At 40.3% G+C, this 20,353-nt stretch overlaps 1 protein-coding gene and 1 long non-coding RNA gene across 3 annotated transcripts in view; both read left to right on the plus strand.

Moving 5' to 3' along the window:
• BBS9 (Bardet-Biedl syndrome 9) overlaps nucleotides 1-2,272 on the plus strand; it is a 506,483-nt gene extending 504,211 nt beyond the window's left edge. For both annotated transcript variants that reach the window (NM_001362679.1, NM_001348041.4), the window contains one exon: nucleotides 1,682-2,272. In NM_001362679.1, the coding sequence (NP_001349608.1) occupies nucleotides 1,682-1,776 (95 nt within the window). In that variant the 3' untranslated portion in view covers nucleotides 1,777-2,272. The remainder of the gene's footprint in view (nucleotides 1-1,681) is intronic.
• LOC124901611 (uncharacterized) lies at nucleotides 4,469-19,179 on the plus strand. Its single transcript, XR_007060280.1, has 2 exons — nucleotides 4,469-7,542; nucleotides 8,775-19,179. It is a non-coding gene; the product is annotated as an uncharacterized LOC124901611 (long non-coding RNA).
• The last annotated feature ends 1,174 nt before the right edge of the window (nucleotides 19,180-20,353 follow it).

Below are 20,353 nucleotides of genomic sequence, written 5' to 3' on the forward strand. Positions count from 1 at the left end.
AAGTTAACTTTTTTCTTTTTTTTTTTTTTTTTTTTGAGATTTGAAAATCCTTGGGTTAGTGATAGGAGAGGAGCTCTTTACCAGGTAAATGCTAAAATACAGTTCTCCTGTGATCTTTACGGGTTTTACTGCAGGTAGTGGCTTCCCACGATCTCTGGAATAGCTTCCTTATAAACTATTAAAGGCATACTTGCAGTATTCCTTTCTGTAGACTTTACAGATTCAGAGGAAAAATTATTTTCCTCTTGTAAAAACTGTGTTCCTGTAATTATCTTGGGTTATGTGGTTTTGAGGTCAATAAAAGGGAGACTTTTTGCCTACAGCCTACCTTTCCTCTGTGTGAGTTGGAGTTTGTCACTTGGACATCAGAACTGTTTCCCTATCCAGCCCTCTTTGCTCTCTGCCAACCCTGCCTGCAGAGTCTTCCCCTACTCATGAAAACAGTGCTGCACCTAATGCCATGGCCCTTCTCTTCACAATTCAGATCTGAGACCTAAGGACTGTTTTGGGAATCCGTAGCTGACTCAAGCCCTGCACAGCCTCCCGCTGGTCCCCAGCAATCTGGCCACCCCGCCTCAGGAAGCTGCACAGAACATCTTCCTCACGCAGGCCCGTCTCCCATGGAGATCCATGAGTGGAAACCTGCAGACTCCCTGCTCTCCCAAGTCCCTGCCTCCCCCAGGAGTGCCTGAGCCTTGGTAGGGAGGTGGATGGATACAAGGCTCAATTTTGGCTAAAGCACTCTGCCAAAAGGGAGGAGGACAAGACCCAACAGAGCCTAAAGGCTCCTGTCCTTGCAGTGTGTGAGTCGTGAGAGGTGGTGCATGGAGCTTGTTTGGACTCTGCAGTGGGCAGCCTGAGGTCAGAATTGCAGCTCAGTGGTCACACTATTAAGCCCTCTGAGCCTCATTTTCCTGTCTGTGAAGCAGAGATAATAATGCCTATTCACGTGGTTGTTGTTAGGTTTAAATTGAATGATAAGTGTAAAATACTTTGCATCCTTCCCGGCACATAGTAGGAATCACATAAGAGCATTTCTAGACCTTTCCACAGGCACCCTGTCAGATGCCCCTACCCTCAGTGCTATCTTACCTTGGTCCTATTACCCCAGGTGTGAGTTTCTGTCCAGGCCCAGGCTGTGTCACGTAAAACAGATTCAGTGCACATTTGTAGGAAACGGCTAAAGAAACAACCACAAAGCCCTGCTGGGGAGCCCCTGAGCTGAGGATGTGTAAGCATGCAGTGTGTATGTGGACAGGGCAGGGCATGAATAAAAGCTGGAATAAGACTTGGTAAGAACTTGAAAGCCATCAGGCTGAAGGAGGATGAGTAGGCCCCACAGTGGGCTAAATGACGACATCAAGAAGAGATTTTCCAGCCACAGGCTTAGTCCGGAGTGTGGGGTTAGAGATGGGCAGTGGACTCCTCACACATCCCTGCTCAGAGGTGCGGGTGCCTGTCACGGGCAGTTGAAATTCTCTTTTGGTGTCCTTGGCCTCCCACACTCGCAGTGGCTCTCTTCGAAACCATCGGTACCCAGTGTCCTTCCTTTTCCCCCGGTTCAATCCTGTGCTCAGAATTAGATGCTGCGATCTGTGTGAGGGACATGGCATGGATGTGGTAGCTGTGGGTGTTGGATGCCTCCTCTGCCATTACTCCCTCCATCTCTCTCTGTTCACAGACCCCAGGACTGGACAGAGGATCGAGGCCTGGACCCTAAGAATACCCCACTCCCTGAGCCAGCATCTCCAGCTGATGGAGGGACCCAAAAGCTAAGCGGGGTCAATCAGACACCTTCCCTGGGATGGTTAAAACTGGGACAGGCCAATGGAGAAGGTCCTTCTGTCTTTGGTCTGTGATGCGAGGAACACAGGGATCTTTCCTGTTGTGTGGAGAAAGAGGAGCCCAGAGCCGTACTGAGCCAAGGGGGTGCCAGGGAGAGGCTGCCAGGCCTGGGCCCTGGAACCAGCCCCCCAAGGCCCTGGAACCAGCCTGCTCCATGCAGCTGCGGCTCTTCCAGTCTGTGAGCTACTCAGTGCCCTTTCAACAAACCCCGCCTTGTTTTGCTTTAATCAGTTTGCATTTTCTGTTGCTTCTTTCTGGAAAAATCCTCTGTGCTTTGACTGACTCCAGGGTCTTCCTCCTTGAGGTGGATTTCTTAGTCACTGTTAGGTATCCAAATATAGGCGAGTGTAAGGCATTTTTCTTTCAACTGTTCATTTTAATGAATTACATTCAGGAAATAAGTAGGAAATTAAATTCATTGAAAGACTATTGGTCTGTATGTACTTTTTCAGCCTAACATGCTCAAAGCGTAGGTAGCAGGCAGCTATAATACAGACATTTTATTTTTTAAAGGGCAAAGACAATGGTAATTTAATTTTAGATCATTCCAGATGGAGTTCAAGTCAACGTGCTGATGACTGGAGACCTGACAGAAATTAAATGTTGGTTATTGCGTCCCAATTTCAGATTATGACCCAATCAAGGGTCACTTGAGGATATCCAAAAGGTTGGGAAGATTACAATAATTTTAAAAACACAAGAAAGTGGTTTCTACCTCTGAGCTATACATATTTATTGGGTTGGAGGAAAGGGATAATTTTCTAAAGGGAAGGGGCACTGTGGAAGAAGAGGCAGCTCTGGAAGCCAGCCAAGGGCAACAGCAAGGAGGCAGCCCCAGCCGAGGGCGGGTTTCTGAGCAGAGTGGACACCAGACAGGAGTTTGCAGATGGTCCATTGGGTAGAGCGTAGGGTAGAAAAGTAGGTTTCATCTTATATGACAATTTTTGACAGATAATGAAGACTATGGGGAGAATTGTGTCCAGAAATAGTCTGAGGCTGAATGTGGGCTTAATGGGGCAGCCATGATTATTTATCAGTGGCAGGTAGTCTGAGCAGAGCTGATTCTGGTGCTCCCACGTGGATCAAGTATATCCCATCTCCAATTCAGTCTCCACAGCAGAGGGAGTAAATAATTCCACCTCACCACAACGGAGCCATATGTGATGAGTGCCCACTAGTTACATGAAATTGGGCAGGGAGGAATTTATGTTAGCCTACATACAAGTCTGAACATAACTCACGTCAGCATTGCCATGGGAAGTCAATATATTGCTGGGTGTTGGCAAATATTGAGTTTAGATGACTCTTCCTGTAAAGGATAGAAACATTGTTTTTAAAACTTCAATTTAGGCTGATGAGAAAATACTATAGAAGGAAGGAGAACATCTTGAAGATTTAAAAAATGATCTATAAGCTCTGGAAGGAAATTTTTAGAAAAATGATTGAGGCACCAGCAATTAGCCTAAGCAAAAAACAAAACAAAACAAAAACACAGTCTCTGAAAAAAAACACACTCAAAGGAGAGTTCAAACTGACATAAAGAGACAATGGAATAAGATGACATTTACTTATTTTATTTTCCTTTAGGTTTATTTGGTCTTTTTCTATCTTCTTTTAGCTGAATTAGTTCTTTTGTATTCAATTTTTTTAATTTTCTAATACATATAGTTAAGATGATAAAATTTTCTCTGAGTACCAATTTGACTGCATTCCATAATGGTTTTCAAATAATTTTTTATTTTGAATTTTTGTGGGTACATAGTAGGTGTATGTATTTATGGTATACATGAGATGTTTTGACACAAGCTTGCAAACCTTCCATAACTTTTGCTATGCTGCATTGAAAGTATTGTGATATTTCAGGTTTGATTTCCTCCTGTGTGCAAGTTATTTAAAAAGAAGTATTAAATACATTCTAAATGAAGGGGATTTTTTCCCCTATGTTTTGAATATTACTTTCTAGTTCTATTACATTATGATCAGGAAATGAGCCCTCTGTGATTTTTACTTTCATAATTTATGGAGGTTTTTTCCTTGAGGACCATTACATCACCATTTTTTGGTAAATATTCTGAAATCTTACATTTGCCCAACCTGATCTGTTGATTTGTGAGAGATTAGGTCAAAGTTTTCCACAATGACATTGGATTTGTTAATATCTCCTTATCCTTCCAAAATTTTTACTTTATATGCTACTATTTAGGTGAATAAAGATTCACAAAAATGTTTCCACCTTCTATCAATGTAATCTCCCTTTGTCATGTTTAATATTTTCATTTTGAGTTATATTTTGGTGATACTAATATATTAAATCTAGTTCTTTTTTTTGAAAACATTCATCTGGTATATTATTCCTCATCTCTTCATTTTTAATCATTCTTAATAATTTTGTCGTAACGATATTTTTTTCTTTTTTAAGACAGGGTCTCCCTCTGTTGCCCGGGCTGGAGTGCAGTGGTGTGATATTGACTCACTGCAATCTCGACCTCCTGGGTTCAAGTGATCCTCCTGCTTCAGCCCCCCAAGTAGCTGAGACTACAGGTGTGTGCCACCATGCCGAGCTAATTTTTATATATTTAGTTAATGGGTTTGTATTTTTAGTTCATGCATTTCGTCATGTTACCCAGGCTGGTCTTGAACTCCTGTGCTCAAGCGATCCGCCCGCCTCAGGCTCCCAAAGTGCTAAGATTACAGACCTGAACCACCGCGCTCAGCTTAAATGTATCTCTTTGAAATATCAACATAGATTCTCTTCCGTTCCCTCAGTCTGTATCTCTTTCAACAGGAGAAAATTTGTAATTTTTTTTACTGTGGAAAATTTCAAACATACACTAAAGAAGAGAACTGTGAATGTGTCACTCTGCTTCAAAAACAATCAATTCTCACCAATTTGGATTATTTTGCAGCAAGATTTTTAAAAAAGTTTAGGAAAATTAACGGCAGAGCTTTTCGTTTATTTGGCAGATGGGAATGATTTAGCTGAAAGAAAAACTGATGATAATACTAAAAGTATTTTTTATATTATGCTTCTACTTAGGCATAATTTCGTGACAAATGTTTGAAGTGCTGGTCATGTTACCAATACATTTTTAGGTTTACATTTGAATTTTTCTAATTTCTTTATTTATTCCTTTTTCTTGGATCCCATGCATTCCTCTTTTGGATCTCTGTTTTGGATTTTTTTTCCTAGAAGATATCTTCTAATAATTCTTAGAAGCAAGAACAGAAAAGTTCTTGTTTGATAAACTTTCAGTGAATAATATTTTCCCTATTAGTAGAATTTTAGTTTAAAATAATTGTTTTTTCCTGGTAAAAATGCTAATTAGAACAACATCATTTTCTCTCTTAACTTCGAAGTCATTACTTTTTGTCTTCTTGCATCTGGGGTTACTTCTTCCATTGTAGGTAAACTGTTTTTCTTATTAGTTTTGGGGTGCCCAGTAATTAATTTATAAGCAAAGTTGTTTGTAATGTATTAAACCAACAGAGAGAAATTCATAGTGCTGATGTGCCTGATTTTAAATATTTACTTGAAGACATGCAAGCATGAATTAAGCAATAATTCAGAACTAAGGGATTCATGATCTACAGATTTCTCCCCTCACTCAGTTCTGAGCCCCCTAAATGAGGCCTCCACATGGGTTATTTGTTGTCTGAGGGATTCTACTCCTGTGGGAAGAGCTTTGGTCCCATGGGGTCTCAAGCGAACATTTTTCTTCTATCTTTATTCCTTTTCCACTTGTGAGGAATGTATGTTTCAAGCTCTGTCCTTCGCTCCCAAAATTCAGAAGTGTCTTTTCTTGTTTAATAATTGCTTAAAGCAATAATTGTGCCATTCTGTTCTAATGCTTCTAACATTGGCTAAATATTTTGCAAAGGGAGCAAGGGGGTATGGCTGGGGAGAGGGAGGAGGGGGAAAGAGAGAGAGAGAGAAAATCCCATGCCATTAGCTCCTTCCACTAGGGTTTCCCTCTTTCCATTTATTGCTTCAGAAGCGCTTCATTATTTTCCTTCTGTTCCCTTCTGTTTTGAAATAATGCCCCTTCTGTGTCACTTTTCTTGAAGAATTTGTCCTCTTTCCAATTGGCTGAAGCTAAAAACTGAAAATAATGGAAGGGCTAAAGTTATATTTTCAGTTTCTGGTATTAAGGGTGTGAATAAGTAAGAAAGAAAATACAATCTAGATTTGTTTTTAATGAGATGGGTGCAGTTTTTACTTCTTCCCTAGTAGAATATCAGAGGGAGACAGAACTGAGAGCCACGAAATGAGGCCTCAAGCCCGGAATAACAATAATTGTGTTATGTTGTCTACTCCGGACTCACTGCCTCCCATTCCAGGATCCATACTGCTATTTTCATAACACTCTAAATGATTTCACATCTGTAAGTAATTAGTTGCAAAATAATCTGTCTTGGGACTGTGGGTGAGAGAAGGGTTGGGCAATAGAAGTTCCAACTGTGGTCTAACAATGTGTAAATCATGTATTCCTTCATTCTGCTTTGTCTGCTTATCAACTGTAAATACATTACACTGGTAAAGGCTAGTCCTGCAAAACATAGCCCTTTGAGAAGCTCAGTATTGATGTGATCCGCCATAATGGCACCACCAGCTTCACAGTTTACAAAGCCCCGCCCCTGATATTATCAGAATTCTTTTTCACAGCAACCCTGAGAGATAGGCGAGGGTAAGGTTTCCATCTAATGTGTGAGGAACCTGTGGCGAAGTCAGTAGATGACATGATATGTTTTGTTGTTTTCTTGCAAACATTTTAACAGTTCATTAACTATAGTAATGCGCATACGGAGGAGTGCAGGAAATTATAACGACAGAGATTGATGAATTGTCACAAAGAGAACACTCTCATGGAATCAGTACCCAGGTCAAGAAACAGAACAATGTAACACTTTCGTGCCCCCTTCCAGTCACCACCCCCAGGGGTGACCACCATGCTGACTTCTAAATAGGTGACAGGATTATTCAAGTTAATTTTGTATGGCATGTGGACCAGGACCTTGCAACACATGGATGTGTTATAGAGGGTCTGCTTGATGCATTTAGGAATACATCTTTACATGAAAAGCAAGGCACATGAGGAATCAATAAGGGATGAAAATTGCCCAACGTGAAGAAAGCTCATCTGAGGAGACTAAATAACAGGCTCCAGTGGATGAAGGCTGAATGTGTGTGTGGAATATTATAGGAAATGTTATCTATTGCTATCAAGAACTGATGAAAAGTTTACATAGAAAAAGGAAAATATGTTTCTTTCATGTTTAGAAATTTGTGGACGAGGAGAAATCCATTTCTTTCTGTGGACATTTTAAAATTTAGGCTGTAAGTGCTCATTGAAAGATAACTTTGGTTTAATCTTAACCAGAGGCAAGGATTTGTGATTTTTCAAGAGTGTTTCCTTTCCCACCCTGTGCCTGGCTGAGCATTTCTGTCCATTTCCATGGGAAGACTGCATTGTGTTCCTTTAAGGGAAATGATGTTTCGCTGGAAAAGGGAGGCTGTGTCTATTTTACTTCTTTCCCTAGGACATGAGTGAGTCGCCAGACATGAAGGCTTTGCCTGTGAATGTGCTGCCTCTCTCTGGGATGGGCAGAGCTGAAGACCAACAGTAATTGCTCCAGCTGGTATCTGCATCTGGTGGATTTTGGAAGCTTACTCTCCCATGTCCTCAGCACTATTCTGCTGTAAGTTTTCTCCACTGTCTGGAGAATTAGAAATCTACAGGCAACCAGCGACTTGTTTGAAATGGCTGGGGCTCCAGCACATGGAGGAGTAGACTAAGACTCTGCGACAGTCAGTGCTGCCTTTGAATGGAACCCTTCTAGACTTTGGTGAACAAGGTCTGTGTGGATGTGGCCTCCAGTAGAAAACACTTTCTTGGCCGGGTGCAGTTAATCCCAGCACTTTGGGAGGCTGAGCCGGGTGGATCACCTGAGGTCAGGAGTTTGAGACCAGCCTGGCTTACATGGTGAAACCCTGTATCTACTGAAAAATACAAAACATTAGCCGGGCGTGGTGGTGGGCACCTATAATCCCAGCTACTTGGGAGGCTGAGGCAGGAGAATCGCTTGAACCCAGGAGGTGGAGGTTATAGTAAGCCAAGATTGCACCATTGCACTCCAGCCTGGGTGACAAGACCAAAACTCTATCTGAAAAAAAAAAAGAAAAAGAAAAGGCTTTCTTTCTCTTTGGAGTCAGTGTTGTCCCTCTGCTCCACCTCAGACCCACTGAGCTCTGAACAGTGGTATGTTGACATGAAAAGAGACTGCCAAGGTTTTAAATTACATCCATTAAGAGATGAATTATTCTCTTAATCATTTTTTGTTTCATTCCTCAAATAATTACAAAGCTTTTAATTCAGTGAAGCTTTGAAAAATAGGTAAGCTTATAATTTTACAAAACATGTGGTCAGAGAAGTAAGAAGAACACCCAGGAAACTTTCTAGAGGATATTGAGAATGACCTAGTGAAGCCTCATTCATCTCTCATTTCTGCACTACAAGGACGCTGCCCAGCTTTTGCTCTTTAATCTGTTTTAGAAGTGCTTGGACTATCTTTTTTTCTCTTATCAAAAAGTTTAAGTTAGAGTGTGGGTTAGAATCTTTTTTAAAAAGCTGACATTTCTTCCCTTAGAAAACTGCCATTCTTCTTTACACAGATGTACCTGCTTACAGAGATATACTATTTTTATTCACTTTTTCATCTTTACCCTGCAGATACATAAAATGTAGATAACCAATAAAATCTGCAGGGTAATGTTATGAAGTCAGTTCTAAAATGAGTGAACAGAAGGAGAAGGACATGTTTATTACTCGGATTTTATTATACTATGTATTGCAAATAGCTTTGCCCAAGTTGGGAAGGGAACACGGCAGGTCTTGATGCTGCTGCTAACCTAGTTGTTACTTTGTCTCTAGATTCCTGGGTATGGCATCTCCATACCAATCTGAAAACATAAGAGAGCTCGAAGAAAAGCATAGACTCAGATGCAATAATCACTTGGGGTAAATATTCTAAACATTTTTTTTGAACCAGCCATTGTTTAATCACCATGAAATATGGTCACTTATCTCCAAAGGGAAATATTTAGAATACAAACCTCTCTTGCTGTCACCTGGCATACAAGGAAATGCAGTGATGTTTCCATTCAAGAAGTGCCTAGATCAAGCCTTTCCTGAACAACAGGAAATGGAATCTTGACACCCTGTTACACCTTAGACCATCACACTCTCTTGCAACTCTGAAGAGGAAAAGGAAGATTTAAACTTTAAGACATTTATTTATAGCATTTGAATTATAAATGTGAGTTATTTAAAAAGACATTTTTAAAAATGTACAGAAAAGAAAAGTAACTAAGTAAAATAACAAAATCTCCTTAACCTCATGACTCTTGCCTTAAACAAACAATAAATACAGTTTTAATGGAAGCCTGGCTCAATTGAATTGTATGTTTACAGTTCTCTGAGTGAACAGCCTTGGGTAGCCACCATCCAGAGCAGTGGAGACATCACCAGTCCCAGAAGTCCCTGATGTCCCTTCCAGTCACGACTCTGTCCCCTCGCCTAGGTAATCAATCACTAGCCTGCCTCCTCTTCTAACATCTTTAAATACTTTTGACTTTTTTTTTCAATTTTTTTTTAATTTTGAAAATTTCAAATTAGGTTAACTGAAATAACAGTACAATGAACACTCATATTTTCCTTACCCAGATTCACTGATTGCTAACATTTTGCCGTATTTTCTTATTTCTCTGAACCATTCTAAAGTTGTAAACATCATGTTTTCCCCCAAATGCTTTATCAGTTATCACCTTAAAACAAAGACGTTCTCCTGTATAACCCCAATACCATTATCACCCTCATAAAATTAATCATTGATGAAGCAATGCAGTTATAATGGTCAGATTTCCCCAATCATTTCAAAAATTGTATAGTTTTTTAAAAACTACATATGATATAATGAGTCATCTCCTATAATTTAATTGCTTGACTTCATTTAGTCTCCTTTAATCTGGAATAGTCTTTCTGCTCTCTCTTTGTTTTTTAATAATGGCATTTTTCATGTCCAGGCTGTTTGTGTAAAATAGCCTTCAATTTGAATTTGTCTGGCTGTTTCTGAATGACTCAATTCAGATTAAATATTTTGGCCAAAATACCCCTAGTGATGCCATGGGTTACATTTCCTGAGGCAGGGTGTTTTTTTTCTCCCATACCTCCAAGTTTACTTGTTATTTAATTAAGACTGGGGTGTTCACATTTTCTCATGCTTCATTATTGTTTGGGGAGGAAGAATATTCATCAGCTAAAAGGTTTTTTATGATCTGCTTTCATCTTCTAGTCACTTTGTATGGATATGTTGCTATTTACCCTTCATTTTGAGATGTTTTCTTTCCTGGAGCGGCCAGCAATGACTGTCACATGTAGACAGAGGTGAGGAGGTGAGGACCGGGTGATACATGAGGTTTCTGAATTCAAGAGATTCTTCTGTTTGTTTGTGAAGTGCAATTTCCTTAAAAATTGCCCTCCTTTTGGGGAGTGGCAGTTTGCCTTCTGGTTTTGTAATTCTCTTGTTTTTCCAGTACTTTAATTTCCAGTTCTTTCTTGTTTTTCTTCAACATCAAATCTCTGAAGGCCGCCCTTTCCAGTTAATCCTTTTCCTACGGAACCCCTGGCTTCCCAAGATACCTACCTCTGTTCCTGCAGACTTTCAATCTCCTTCCTTGTGATTCTCAGTAGCCAGTGCCCTAATCCGCCACGTCTCACAACTGTGTTCAATGTTTTCCCATTTGGGATGAGACATTGTTTCCCTGGGGGGTGTTTTCCATACCTACTCCTCTGCTTTCCTTTCTTCTTTTCTGCACTTTTTCTTCTGAATTTGGTCATTTATTTACCTGTTTGGGCATAATTTGAAGTTTGGAGTATTCTCTGTTCCGTAGTTATGCTACAGGCATGGGTTCTTGGTGGTTTTACTTGTTCATTTTGTTGATCTATGTGGTTTTCGGGAATATTTATGAAGAGATTCAGAATATAGACTATTTGTTTCCTTTTGAGTTTTATTTCCTTTCCACCTTTTTTTCTGTTATAATTTTACATAATTGTCATCATGTGTCTATTCAATTTCTTTCTTTTTAACTTAATATCATTTTAATTTTCCCAATTTCCTGTAGATGCTATCATTATTTGTCAATGGGCCCATAATCTTTTTCCAAGTGGAGATACCATGCTATATTTTATTACTTTTCTATTGTTGGATATTTACATTGGAAAAGGATGATTACAAGTGTGTTTGGCATGAAGAGATTTAGCTCAGGCCATTTTGAGGGATGAGCACTTGGCCCAGGATAAGCATATAATAAATCTTTGTGGAATCAATGATTCAAAAGAAAAATAAAACTGAATAACATTGCCCAAATGTGAAGAAAACTGAAGCATCTTTTAAAATGTCCAGTTAAAACATATAAATCCCATATCCTAAAGGAATTTCATTAACTGTTTAGGACTTCACTTGGGGCCCACCAGAAATAAATGCTCTGGGATTGTCAGATTGAATAAAGTTGATAACTAAGGTGTTTGCTGGAGTCAGAATGCAACAACTGTGTCTTAGAGTGAAGGTCATGAAAAAGAACTTCAATCTGAGGGTAACTTTTATTCAGGGTGACTCTTGGGGATAAGTAACCGCGTGACCTTGTCAGTTTGTTCTCCGTCCATCGCATGGGTGGTGATGATTGAACCAGAGAAATGAATGGGGCTTGTAGCGCTGGATGTATATGGTCAGTCTCCATAAATCATTTCTTCCATTGTCTGAATACATTTGGGCATCCACAGTAGTTTATTTCCAAAGTATATAAAGAAGCAGAGGCCAAGGGTGTAATCTTGGAGCTATTTAAATAGAGTGGTTCCAGTCAAGACATGCAGCTGTTCCCAATTATTAGTCCATATATTCTAGGTGCCAGGGAAAACCCACAAGTGTGTCACTCAATTGAATTTTAAAGTGACCTCCTGTTCAGATGAAAATCTCCTAGCTGTGTTTTTTTCCCTAAAGACTGGTCTCCTATTGAACGAGTTAGCAACACTCTTGTTGTGAATGAATCATTGCTACTGCCTATAGAGGAAATCTGGATTGTTCCATAGGGTTTTCAAGGAATGTGAACTTACCTTCCAGGGAACCCTTTGTAAATGCTGCTAGCCAAAATCCTGAACACAAGGACAAGTTGGAAATCTTCAAAAGGGCAAACTCTGATGAGGGGGCGTGGTTTTAATATTTTAAAGGCATGTGAGTTGTGTCAAAACATGATTCCAAGGAGTGCCCTGATTCCTGGCACACTGTTTGAGAGTCCCTGTAGGCACACAGGACTTGTGGCTCATTCTACTTAGGGAAGCAGATATTTCTCTCTCTGAAGCTTATCACAGATGACAAGAGTAGCGTGCTGCCAGAGCAGTCCCTGAAAAGTAAGATCCCTTGGAGACGCAAAGGCCGTCTTCTAACACAAAACCTTACCATGGGACGCCCAAGTGTCCCTTCCACCTGATTTCATCAACTGCCCAGCCAAAGAGCAAAAGCTCTGCAGTCACATTGTCTGGGATTACACCTTGGCTTTATCACTTATGTAGTGTGACCCTCAGGCAAGCTAGTTAGACTTTTTTTTTTTTAAATCCCCATTGTTCTATCTGTAAAATGGAGATAATAAACTACTAACTTAATAGGGTTGTTGTGAAAATTTAATGAGGTTATCCATTTAAAGGGCTTATCAAATGTTCACGGCCAGTTTCCTCCTCCTTCTCCTTTCCATCATCACTGACCATTGTCATCCCTCACAAGGGAAATATGCATGAAATTAAAACCCTGCTTTTCTTTATCTGATTCCCTTTATTGAAGTTAATCCATTTGCTGAACAGGGACTATTTAAATTATTCAAGGCAAACTGTTTTCCTTTTTCTCCTTCCACATGTGTAGAGATTACAGGGAGATGCCTGGGCCACTGTTTCACAATCCACAAAGCTAAGGGTATCGTTTTTTAGGCCAATGGAAACATCTCCTGGGGTCACTGGCCAAGCCAGAATGTCACCCGCACAGTTTTCGAAACTGACTTTAGGTCAGTGAAAAATTCCTCATTGTATGTACTTTCCTTAGGCAATTTCAAGAATTAAAGCTTGAGAAAAACACATTTGGTGAATATCAATGTAAAACATGAAAGTGATGTATATAATTCTACATGCCTCAGAGAGATATAGCAATAGAATATTTATTTCACAAATATGAACAAGGCCCATTTAATTAGTTGTCAGAGCTAGTGAGTTTATGTCTTAAAGCACATACGAAAGCTCTTTGAACAGCAGCACAGAGAGTTTATTTAGTTGTTCTGTTTTACTGCGGTGAGGTGCCAAGCTGACTCCAGAGAAATCTTGCCATGTGGTGCCTAGGAGTCTAAGTCCTAAATTGAATGCCTCGGCTGCTCTCCGTCCTTCCCCTGTCAAGAGTAAGAAAGCAACCTCAAGAGAAGTGAGCCTTTTATTTCACACAAGTGAATTTCTGATAGTTGATGTTTATGATTGTTTTTACATTACAGTTTTTATGACTTATTTTACTTATTTTCTGTAAGTTTCCTCGATTATATGTCCCTGAGTTCAGTTTTCCCCCTTTATTCCCTCAGAGCTAACTGCATTTGATATGCTATCTTTTATTATGCAGAAGCCCTTTGATCTCTACAGAGGAAAGGCGCCATATAAATGCAGAAATCCATTATAATCATACAGAAGAGTGGCTTTATGGGTGAAGTCCAGCTTAGCAAAGCTGTTGGATGGAAGAGTGTACTAGACTGTGGAATGCTAATGCCAAAGTGTCTACTCAGATGGTGGCTGGTTTCAGGAGTTTATTTTTCAAGTATGCTTTCTTATTGAAGTAAACATACATACAAAAAAGTGCACACATCGTAAGTATTCAGCCTGATGAATTTCAGCATACTGAATACACCCGTGTAACCAGCACCCACAGCCAGAAAAAGAACATTGCAGTATCCCTCATGCCCCTTCTCATTCCCTACACCCCCTAAGGTCACCACTGTTCTGACTTCTATCACCATAGATTATTTTCACTTGATTTTGAACTTCATAAAGCTCAAATCACACAGAATATACTCTTTAGGACCTGGCTTTTTGTTCTCAGCACAGTGTGAGTGATGTTCATCTGTGCCGCAATTCTTCAGGTCTTTTTGTTATGTGAGATTTTATTGTACAAGTATACTATTTAACCATTCTCCTACTGAAAGATATTTTAGTTGTTTCCAATTTTTGGCTTACATATAGTGCCACTATTAATGACATTTTTGTATATGTCTTTTGATGAACATATGTATGTATTTATTTTGGATAGGTACATACGAGTGGAATTCCTGGGCCACCAAGTGCATATGCACATGCTTGACGTTGGGAGATATTGCCAAACACTTTTCAGAAATTGTTGTACCAATTTTTGCTCCCATCAGTGGTGTGTGAGTGCTCTGATTGCTCCATAACCTTACTGAGGGGCACCGGATTATCCGCCTGCCCCCATTTGCCTCTTTGGCATAGAGATTATTTTGAGCTAAAGGCCATTAAGAACCAGCAGATGCCGGAAAAGCTCTTAAAACAGGGCACGAGTTTTTCTGTTGTAAAGCAAATTTACATTTATAAAGAAAATTCCATTTGTAGAATGTCTTCCTCTCCCATACCGGGAAGAGGAGGATTCTTAACAACTCTTATCAATGGAGAAGGAGCCAACTTAAATCCACTTAACATACTTTATTGAACAACCCTTGTTTACCATACTTTTCCCAGTCATCTTCCTGTAACTTGTCTCCCCTACCAAGAAGCCCCAAGCCTCTTTTCCTTTGTTTTGGCCTAAGATGGTGTGTAAACCCAAGTTCTAACCACCCTTGGGACTCATCACTGGGTACTCCCATGTGTAAACCCCATGCACATGCGAATAAACCTCTGTTTTTCTGTTGTTCATCTGACTTTAGCCAGTCTAATTTACAGTACCCCACTGGAGAACCTGAGATGGTTAGAGGAAGAGATTTTGTTTTGTTTTGTTTTCTACACTACTCACATTGGCATTGCCAGTCTTCTAAGTTTTAGCCATTCTGTTGGATGTGTAGGGGAGAAGCAGTAATATCTTTTCCTCACCTATTGCAAGGTTCATGGCTGAGACCTCTGTAATAGAAACAGATTAACATGAGAAAAGCATAACAAGTTTATTTAAGTTTTACATAACACTGAAGCATCCAGAAATGAAGCCCTGAAGAAGTAAAGAAAGCTGTGTATTTTTATGGACAGTCATGCAGAAGTATGATTGGAGAAAAAAGGGTATGATCTACTGGCAACAAACGGGGGAACATAGGCCTGTTTGTTCAGATTCTTCTCTGTGTCTTCATTTCTTATAAGGAGGACTGATGGAATGAGGCTCTTGTAACTTACTTTAGAGGAAGGTTGAATGATTCTTTTATGGCCTCCTTTAGGGGAGAATGGCTGGAGAAGGTCAGAGAGAACTTCCCGCTTCTGCTGATTTCTCAAATGCCAACATGCCATAATTTGGGGATAGCATGACCTGATCCATCTCATTGTGGTTTTAATTTTCACTTTTTTGATAACTAATGATGCTGGTCACCTTTACCTATGTTTATTGGCGATTCGTATATTTCCTTTTGTGAAGTGCCCATTCACGTCTGTTATCTATTTTACTGTAAAGTTGCCTTTTCCTTATTGGTTTATGAGAGTTTTTAAATTTATTCTTGTGGGAAGTCCTTTGTCGGGTTTGCTATCTGTATCATAGATAACTCTTATCCTTCCTGTGGCTTGGATTTTACTTTCTTAATAGTGTCTTTTGATAACAAAATTCTTAATTTTAATATATTCCAATTTATATATATTTTTCCTGAAGGAAAAATTATTTAATGCTTTTGTGATCTATTAAGAAATTTTATCCTCCTCCAAGTTGTGGAGCTATTCTTCTGTGTTTTCTTCCATAAGAGCTATTGTTTTGTGTCTTATATTTAGATCTACAAACCCTTTGGAAATGAATTTATGTACATGGTTTGGGATGGGGGTCAATATTCGCCTTTATTTCTACATAGATTTGCAATTGCTCCAGCATCTTTTATTGAAATTACCGCACTTTCTCCATTGAAATTTACTTTTGAAGCAAGTTCAAGGTCAAAATCTTTAGTAGGGAGATGACTCTCTTATGCATAGGTTTTCAGATTGTTATGCATAGGCATCACCATGGAATGTGTTTAAAATATAGATACCTAGGCCACCCCCAGGGATGCTGATTCACTGCTGATGATTCTCATGCCTTGAGGCCTGGCCCGTACTCCGAGGATTGGTGCTTCACTCAGGACCACCCTCAGTCAAGCAGACTCTGCATCTCTCTGCCTCATTCATCTATGTACAGACACTGTGTCTCCTGTAGATTATTGTGGCAGCTACAATCAGTTAACAAGTTAATTTTGGGGAACTCTATTTATCCTACCAACTCAAATATTTTGCTCAATTAATATTCTCTCATTCCATTAGTCATTCATCAGTACCTATCAGTTAGTCATTGACTTGAATTTCATGTGGGCATTCCACCACTTCACTTGCCACCCCATTCTGTTACTTAACAAAGTCTACTGCAAAGCACATCCATTGAGACAGCTTGATTGTCTCCTTGTATAGCTTGCCCCATTGTCATTTTGTCCTTCTCTTAGTATCTGCGACATTCAATTAGCCTTTATTGAACACCTACTCTTTGCCAAGCATATAATCAACTTTTTATCCTCAAGGCTATTAGAGTCCCTTGTAGAAGTGTGGGCACTGACCAACTTCCTGACACATGAGTACAGTGAACCGTGATGTATGCCATAAATGGGAGGGGTGTGTGCTTGCTCAGAGGAGGAAGCAATTACCCCTCCTTGTAGAAGGTCAGAGAAGCCTAAGCAGTGGCGGTTGAGCTGGGTCTTAAAGAGTGTATAGGAGTTCAGTGAAGGATAAGTGGATGAGGATGAGGGTATTTCAGGTAGAGGAAAAAGACATAAAACAGCTCAGCATGGTCGAGGAACTGCAGGTGATTCTGCATGTGTGCATCCCCTCAGTAACTCAACAGCCCATGTAAATTGGGAGGCAGGAGCACTGTCCCACTGAGTTTCAAACAAAAGCCATTCCAAACTGCCAGATAAAATTCCAGTTTAAATTAGTGAAATTTGTTGTGAGACAGCCTGTGCACTGCAGATGCCTGTGGTCCTAGAAGATAAAGTCTATTTCCTTTTGAAGGACATACATGTAGATCAACATGGAAGGAGTAGCCCTTGACCATCAGTGTATGACTCCATTGCATAGTGCTTGCTGCAGAATTGCCTTGCCTGTCAGATGACACAGCCAGTGCTGAGGTGAGCTGGTATCTACCCCGACCCTCCTTTGCCAGAAGTAAAGATGATGAGGGGGAGCCCCCTTACTGACCCTTGCTGGGGATGGATGGATGGGTGAAGGCTTCTGACAACAGCCACCTTTCCCAATGAGGTCATGAGGACCTCAGTGCTGTATGATGGGGAAGGATATGGCTATTTTTGTACCATGGATAATAAAAGGGGAAAACCCTGCTAATTTGACGTAAAAAAGATTCAAAGTCATAAATATCCCAAACTGAAAGCAAACCCCAGAAAGGCTAGTTTTGAAATTGGAGGTAATTAATTCCTCATGCGATGTGCTGAAATTCAACCCAGACATCCCTTTTTTTTTTTAATTTCTTTCAGACAGTTTACAGTCCAGTGGAAAGTAAAACCATGCAATCCCTTGGTGTGGTACAGTTTTACTATGTGTCTCTTTTTATTATTTTGCTCATTTTGATCACTTTTTACGTGAACATGCATATAATGAATTCAGCTCCTCTTGTACATGAGATTTATTTTACCCCAAGGATCTCTCCTCTCTCCATCGGTAGTCAAATTGTTAGTGCATTTCTCCATAAAAGAAAAGATCTGCAGACTAGAGCATCGAAGGTGAATGATGACATTAATTTGAAATTTGGATTTATTTTTAACTCAGAAAAAATGCTGCTGTTTTGCAAATGAAACTGGAGTTTAAAGTCAAATAATAAGGTTTAAACTCCATATTGAGGGAATCATAAACCTCCATATTGCCCTGACCTTTGAGGGTCTTGTTCTTAAACTCTCTTCTATAGTGAAGTCGAAAATCTTATTAATTCCCAAATGTGGTGCTCATATTCTCAACTCCATACCTTTGCTTTATTCATCCTCCAAGGCTGGCATATCCTTACAGCCATTCTTTTTTTTTTTTTTTTTTTTTTTTTGGTCAGTTGGATTGTCCACTGCAATTAAGCTGTGCAAGAGCAAAATAAAATTTGTTTGTTTGTTTGTTTGTTTCTCTATAACTATCTCATGCTCTGCAGGAACCTCTACCCTTCTAGGTAATAGGAAAGAAAAAGATAACTAAGTACATAATCCACCTTCAATCTTAGCCCCAGTAGTAATTTTTCTAGAGTCTCTGTAGGTAAACCTGTCTTTAATGGTGATTGTTGAGCCTCTCTAATTTCCATTTCCTGTCCCCTGCTTGTCTTTAGATAGTGGCTGGCTGTGTGGAGTGGGCACAGCGCTTGCTCTCATGAGCCGGTCCCTGGATCTACATCAAGATGGTGCCTGGATCTGTGGATGGACTCTGGTCCTACCTTGGCCCCTGCTGCACTGAAGCTCCTGGCATTTCCAGGGAGCCTTGCCCCTGTGTGTTATTGGCCTGTTTTTCTGATGTCTGCAGCCTGACAAACATGTCACCTGGTCTTTCTCAGCTGGGTGGCTCCTCTTTGTTGATTCAATGCCTCCTGGTCTTGCACCCACTCCCCGACTCAGATACTCTGCTTGGGCTCTTCCAGGAGATCAGTGTGCTCTGCCAGGTCCCAGGGCAGACCTGCTGGCTCTCAGCTTGGCACTGAGGAATGCTCTGGAGTAAACACTAGCCCTCCCCACCTGCTACATGCTCAGCCCTCTCCCCTCTGCCGTGTTGCCTCATGTCTCAGTCATTTCTGATTCCTCGTTACCTAGCAGAATGTCTGGCACTTTTGCTCAGTAAGATGCTTTTGAAATTGAACTGGATTGTGAATTCCTTTCAGTGAGTGGTCCATGCTTTATTTGGCAAATAGATGCCAATGACTACTATTTTCTCGAAATTTTATAAAGTTAATTATTGATACACCCAAAGCAGAGGGATCTTCTGATCCCCAAAGCCTGGCTTTCAGTGTTGTTTTAACCCTTCTAAAATCTCAAGTTTCTCTAATAAAAACCACGATAGTCTGAAATGCTGGAATTTGGAATTTATGCCTTCCTAGAGTGCTGATACCGAAATTTTAAGGAATGTAGGGAAAAAAAGGAAATAAAAAGTCCCCCAGAGGTTGCTGGAATTTTTAGTTTTATTTGAACATATTTGGTGGGAGAAAGAAATGAGAGTTTGTGATTTACTTTCTTTCTGATTTCTTCTTTGCTGTTTTTTTTTTTATTTCATCTGAGCACCTGTAGAAAAGTTTCCTTAGAGCACTCCTGTGTGGGGAAGTATCCAGTTTGAAAGCCAGGCCAAGGAGGTATCTTGACCATTTGAGCAGAAAGACCTCTGAGGAAATGAACTTTCTCCTGTTGAGTTGTGTCAGGATGGAAAGGTGTGATTACTTTCCCCACCTATCATAAGGGTCATGGCTGACACTATTATAACAAAAGACAGATTAACAAGAGAAAAGCATAACAAATTTATTGAATCAAAGTTTTAGGTGATGTGAGAGCCTTTAGAAATGAAGACCCAAAACCCCAGGGAAAATTGTTTTTTATGCTTAGGTTCCATGAAGAATGGATAGCCATGTAGAACTGTGATGGGACAAAAGGTGTGACCTCATGGCAATAGACCAAGGGGGGAACCCCAGCAAGGCCTGTCAGTTCAGATTCTTCCTGGCCTTTCTGTGTAGCATTCCTTCCCCCTGGGGATGGGGCAGGACCGAAGGGAGAAGGAAGAGAGTGACCTTGGTAGGTTTTCTGGCTTACTTTTGGGGAGAGGGGTTCTAGTTTTTATGACTCCACCTTGGGGAGGAGGAATTCTGGTTTCTGTGATTCACTTCAGAGGAGGAAGAGGGATGGGAGACAGGAGGATGGAGAAGGTCAGAGGGACCTTGCTTGTGAGACTTTTCTGATATCCTTCAGTTTGAAGTACTTAGCACACCAAAGAGCTGTCTTTGGAGTATCGTGCTCTGAGTCCCAGCATTTGTAAGGCCAGGTGGAAGAGAAGTGCTGGCTCATTAACTCACACAACTGTTTCTTGAGAGTCCTGTGTGTGTCTGGTGCTGTTTGATGCTCTGAGCAAAGGTTATCTTCAGAGAGAATGACTGTCCAAGATGCTGATGCCACTCGGGATGATGAAGAGAGGTTGCAATGGGAGAAGGATGCAAACAGCCACCAGATGTTTGCTCAGAGGCCCACACTTAGACCTCA

The sequence above is a fragment of the Homo sapiens genome, chromosome 7 (genome assembly GCF_000001405.40).
Source record: "Homo sapiens chromosome 7, GRCh38.p14 Primary Assembly".
NCBI lineage: Eukaryota > Metazoa > Chordata > Mammalia > Primates > Hominidae > Homo > Homo sapiens.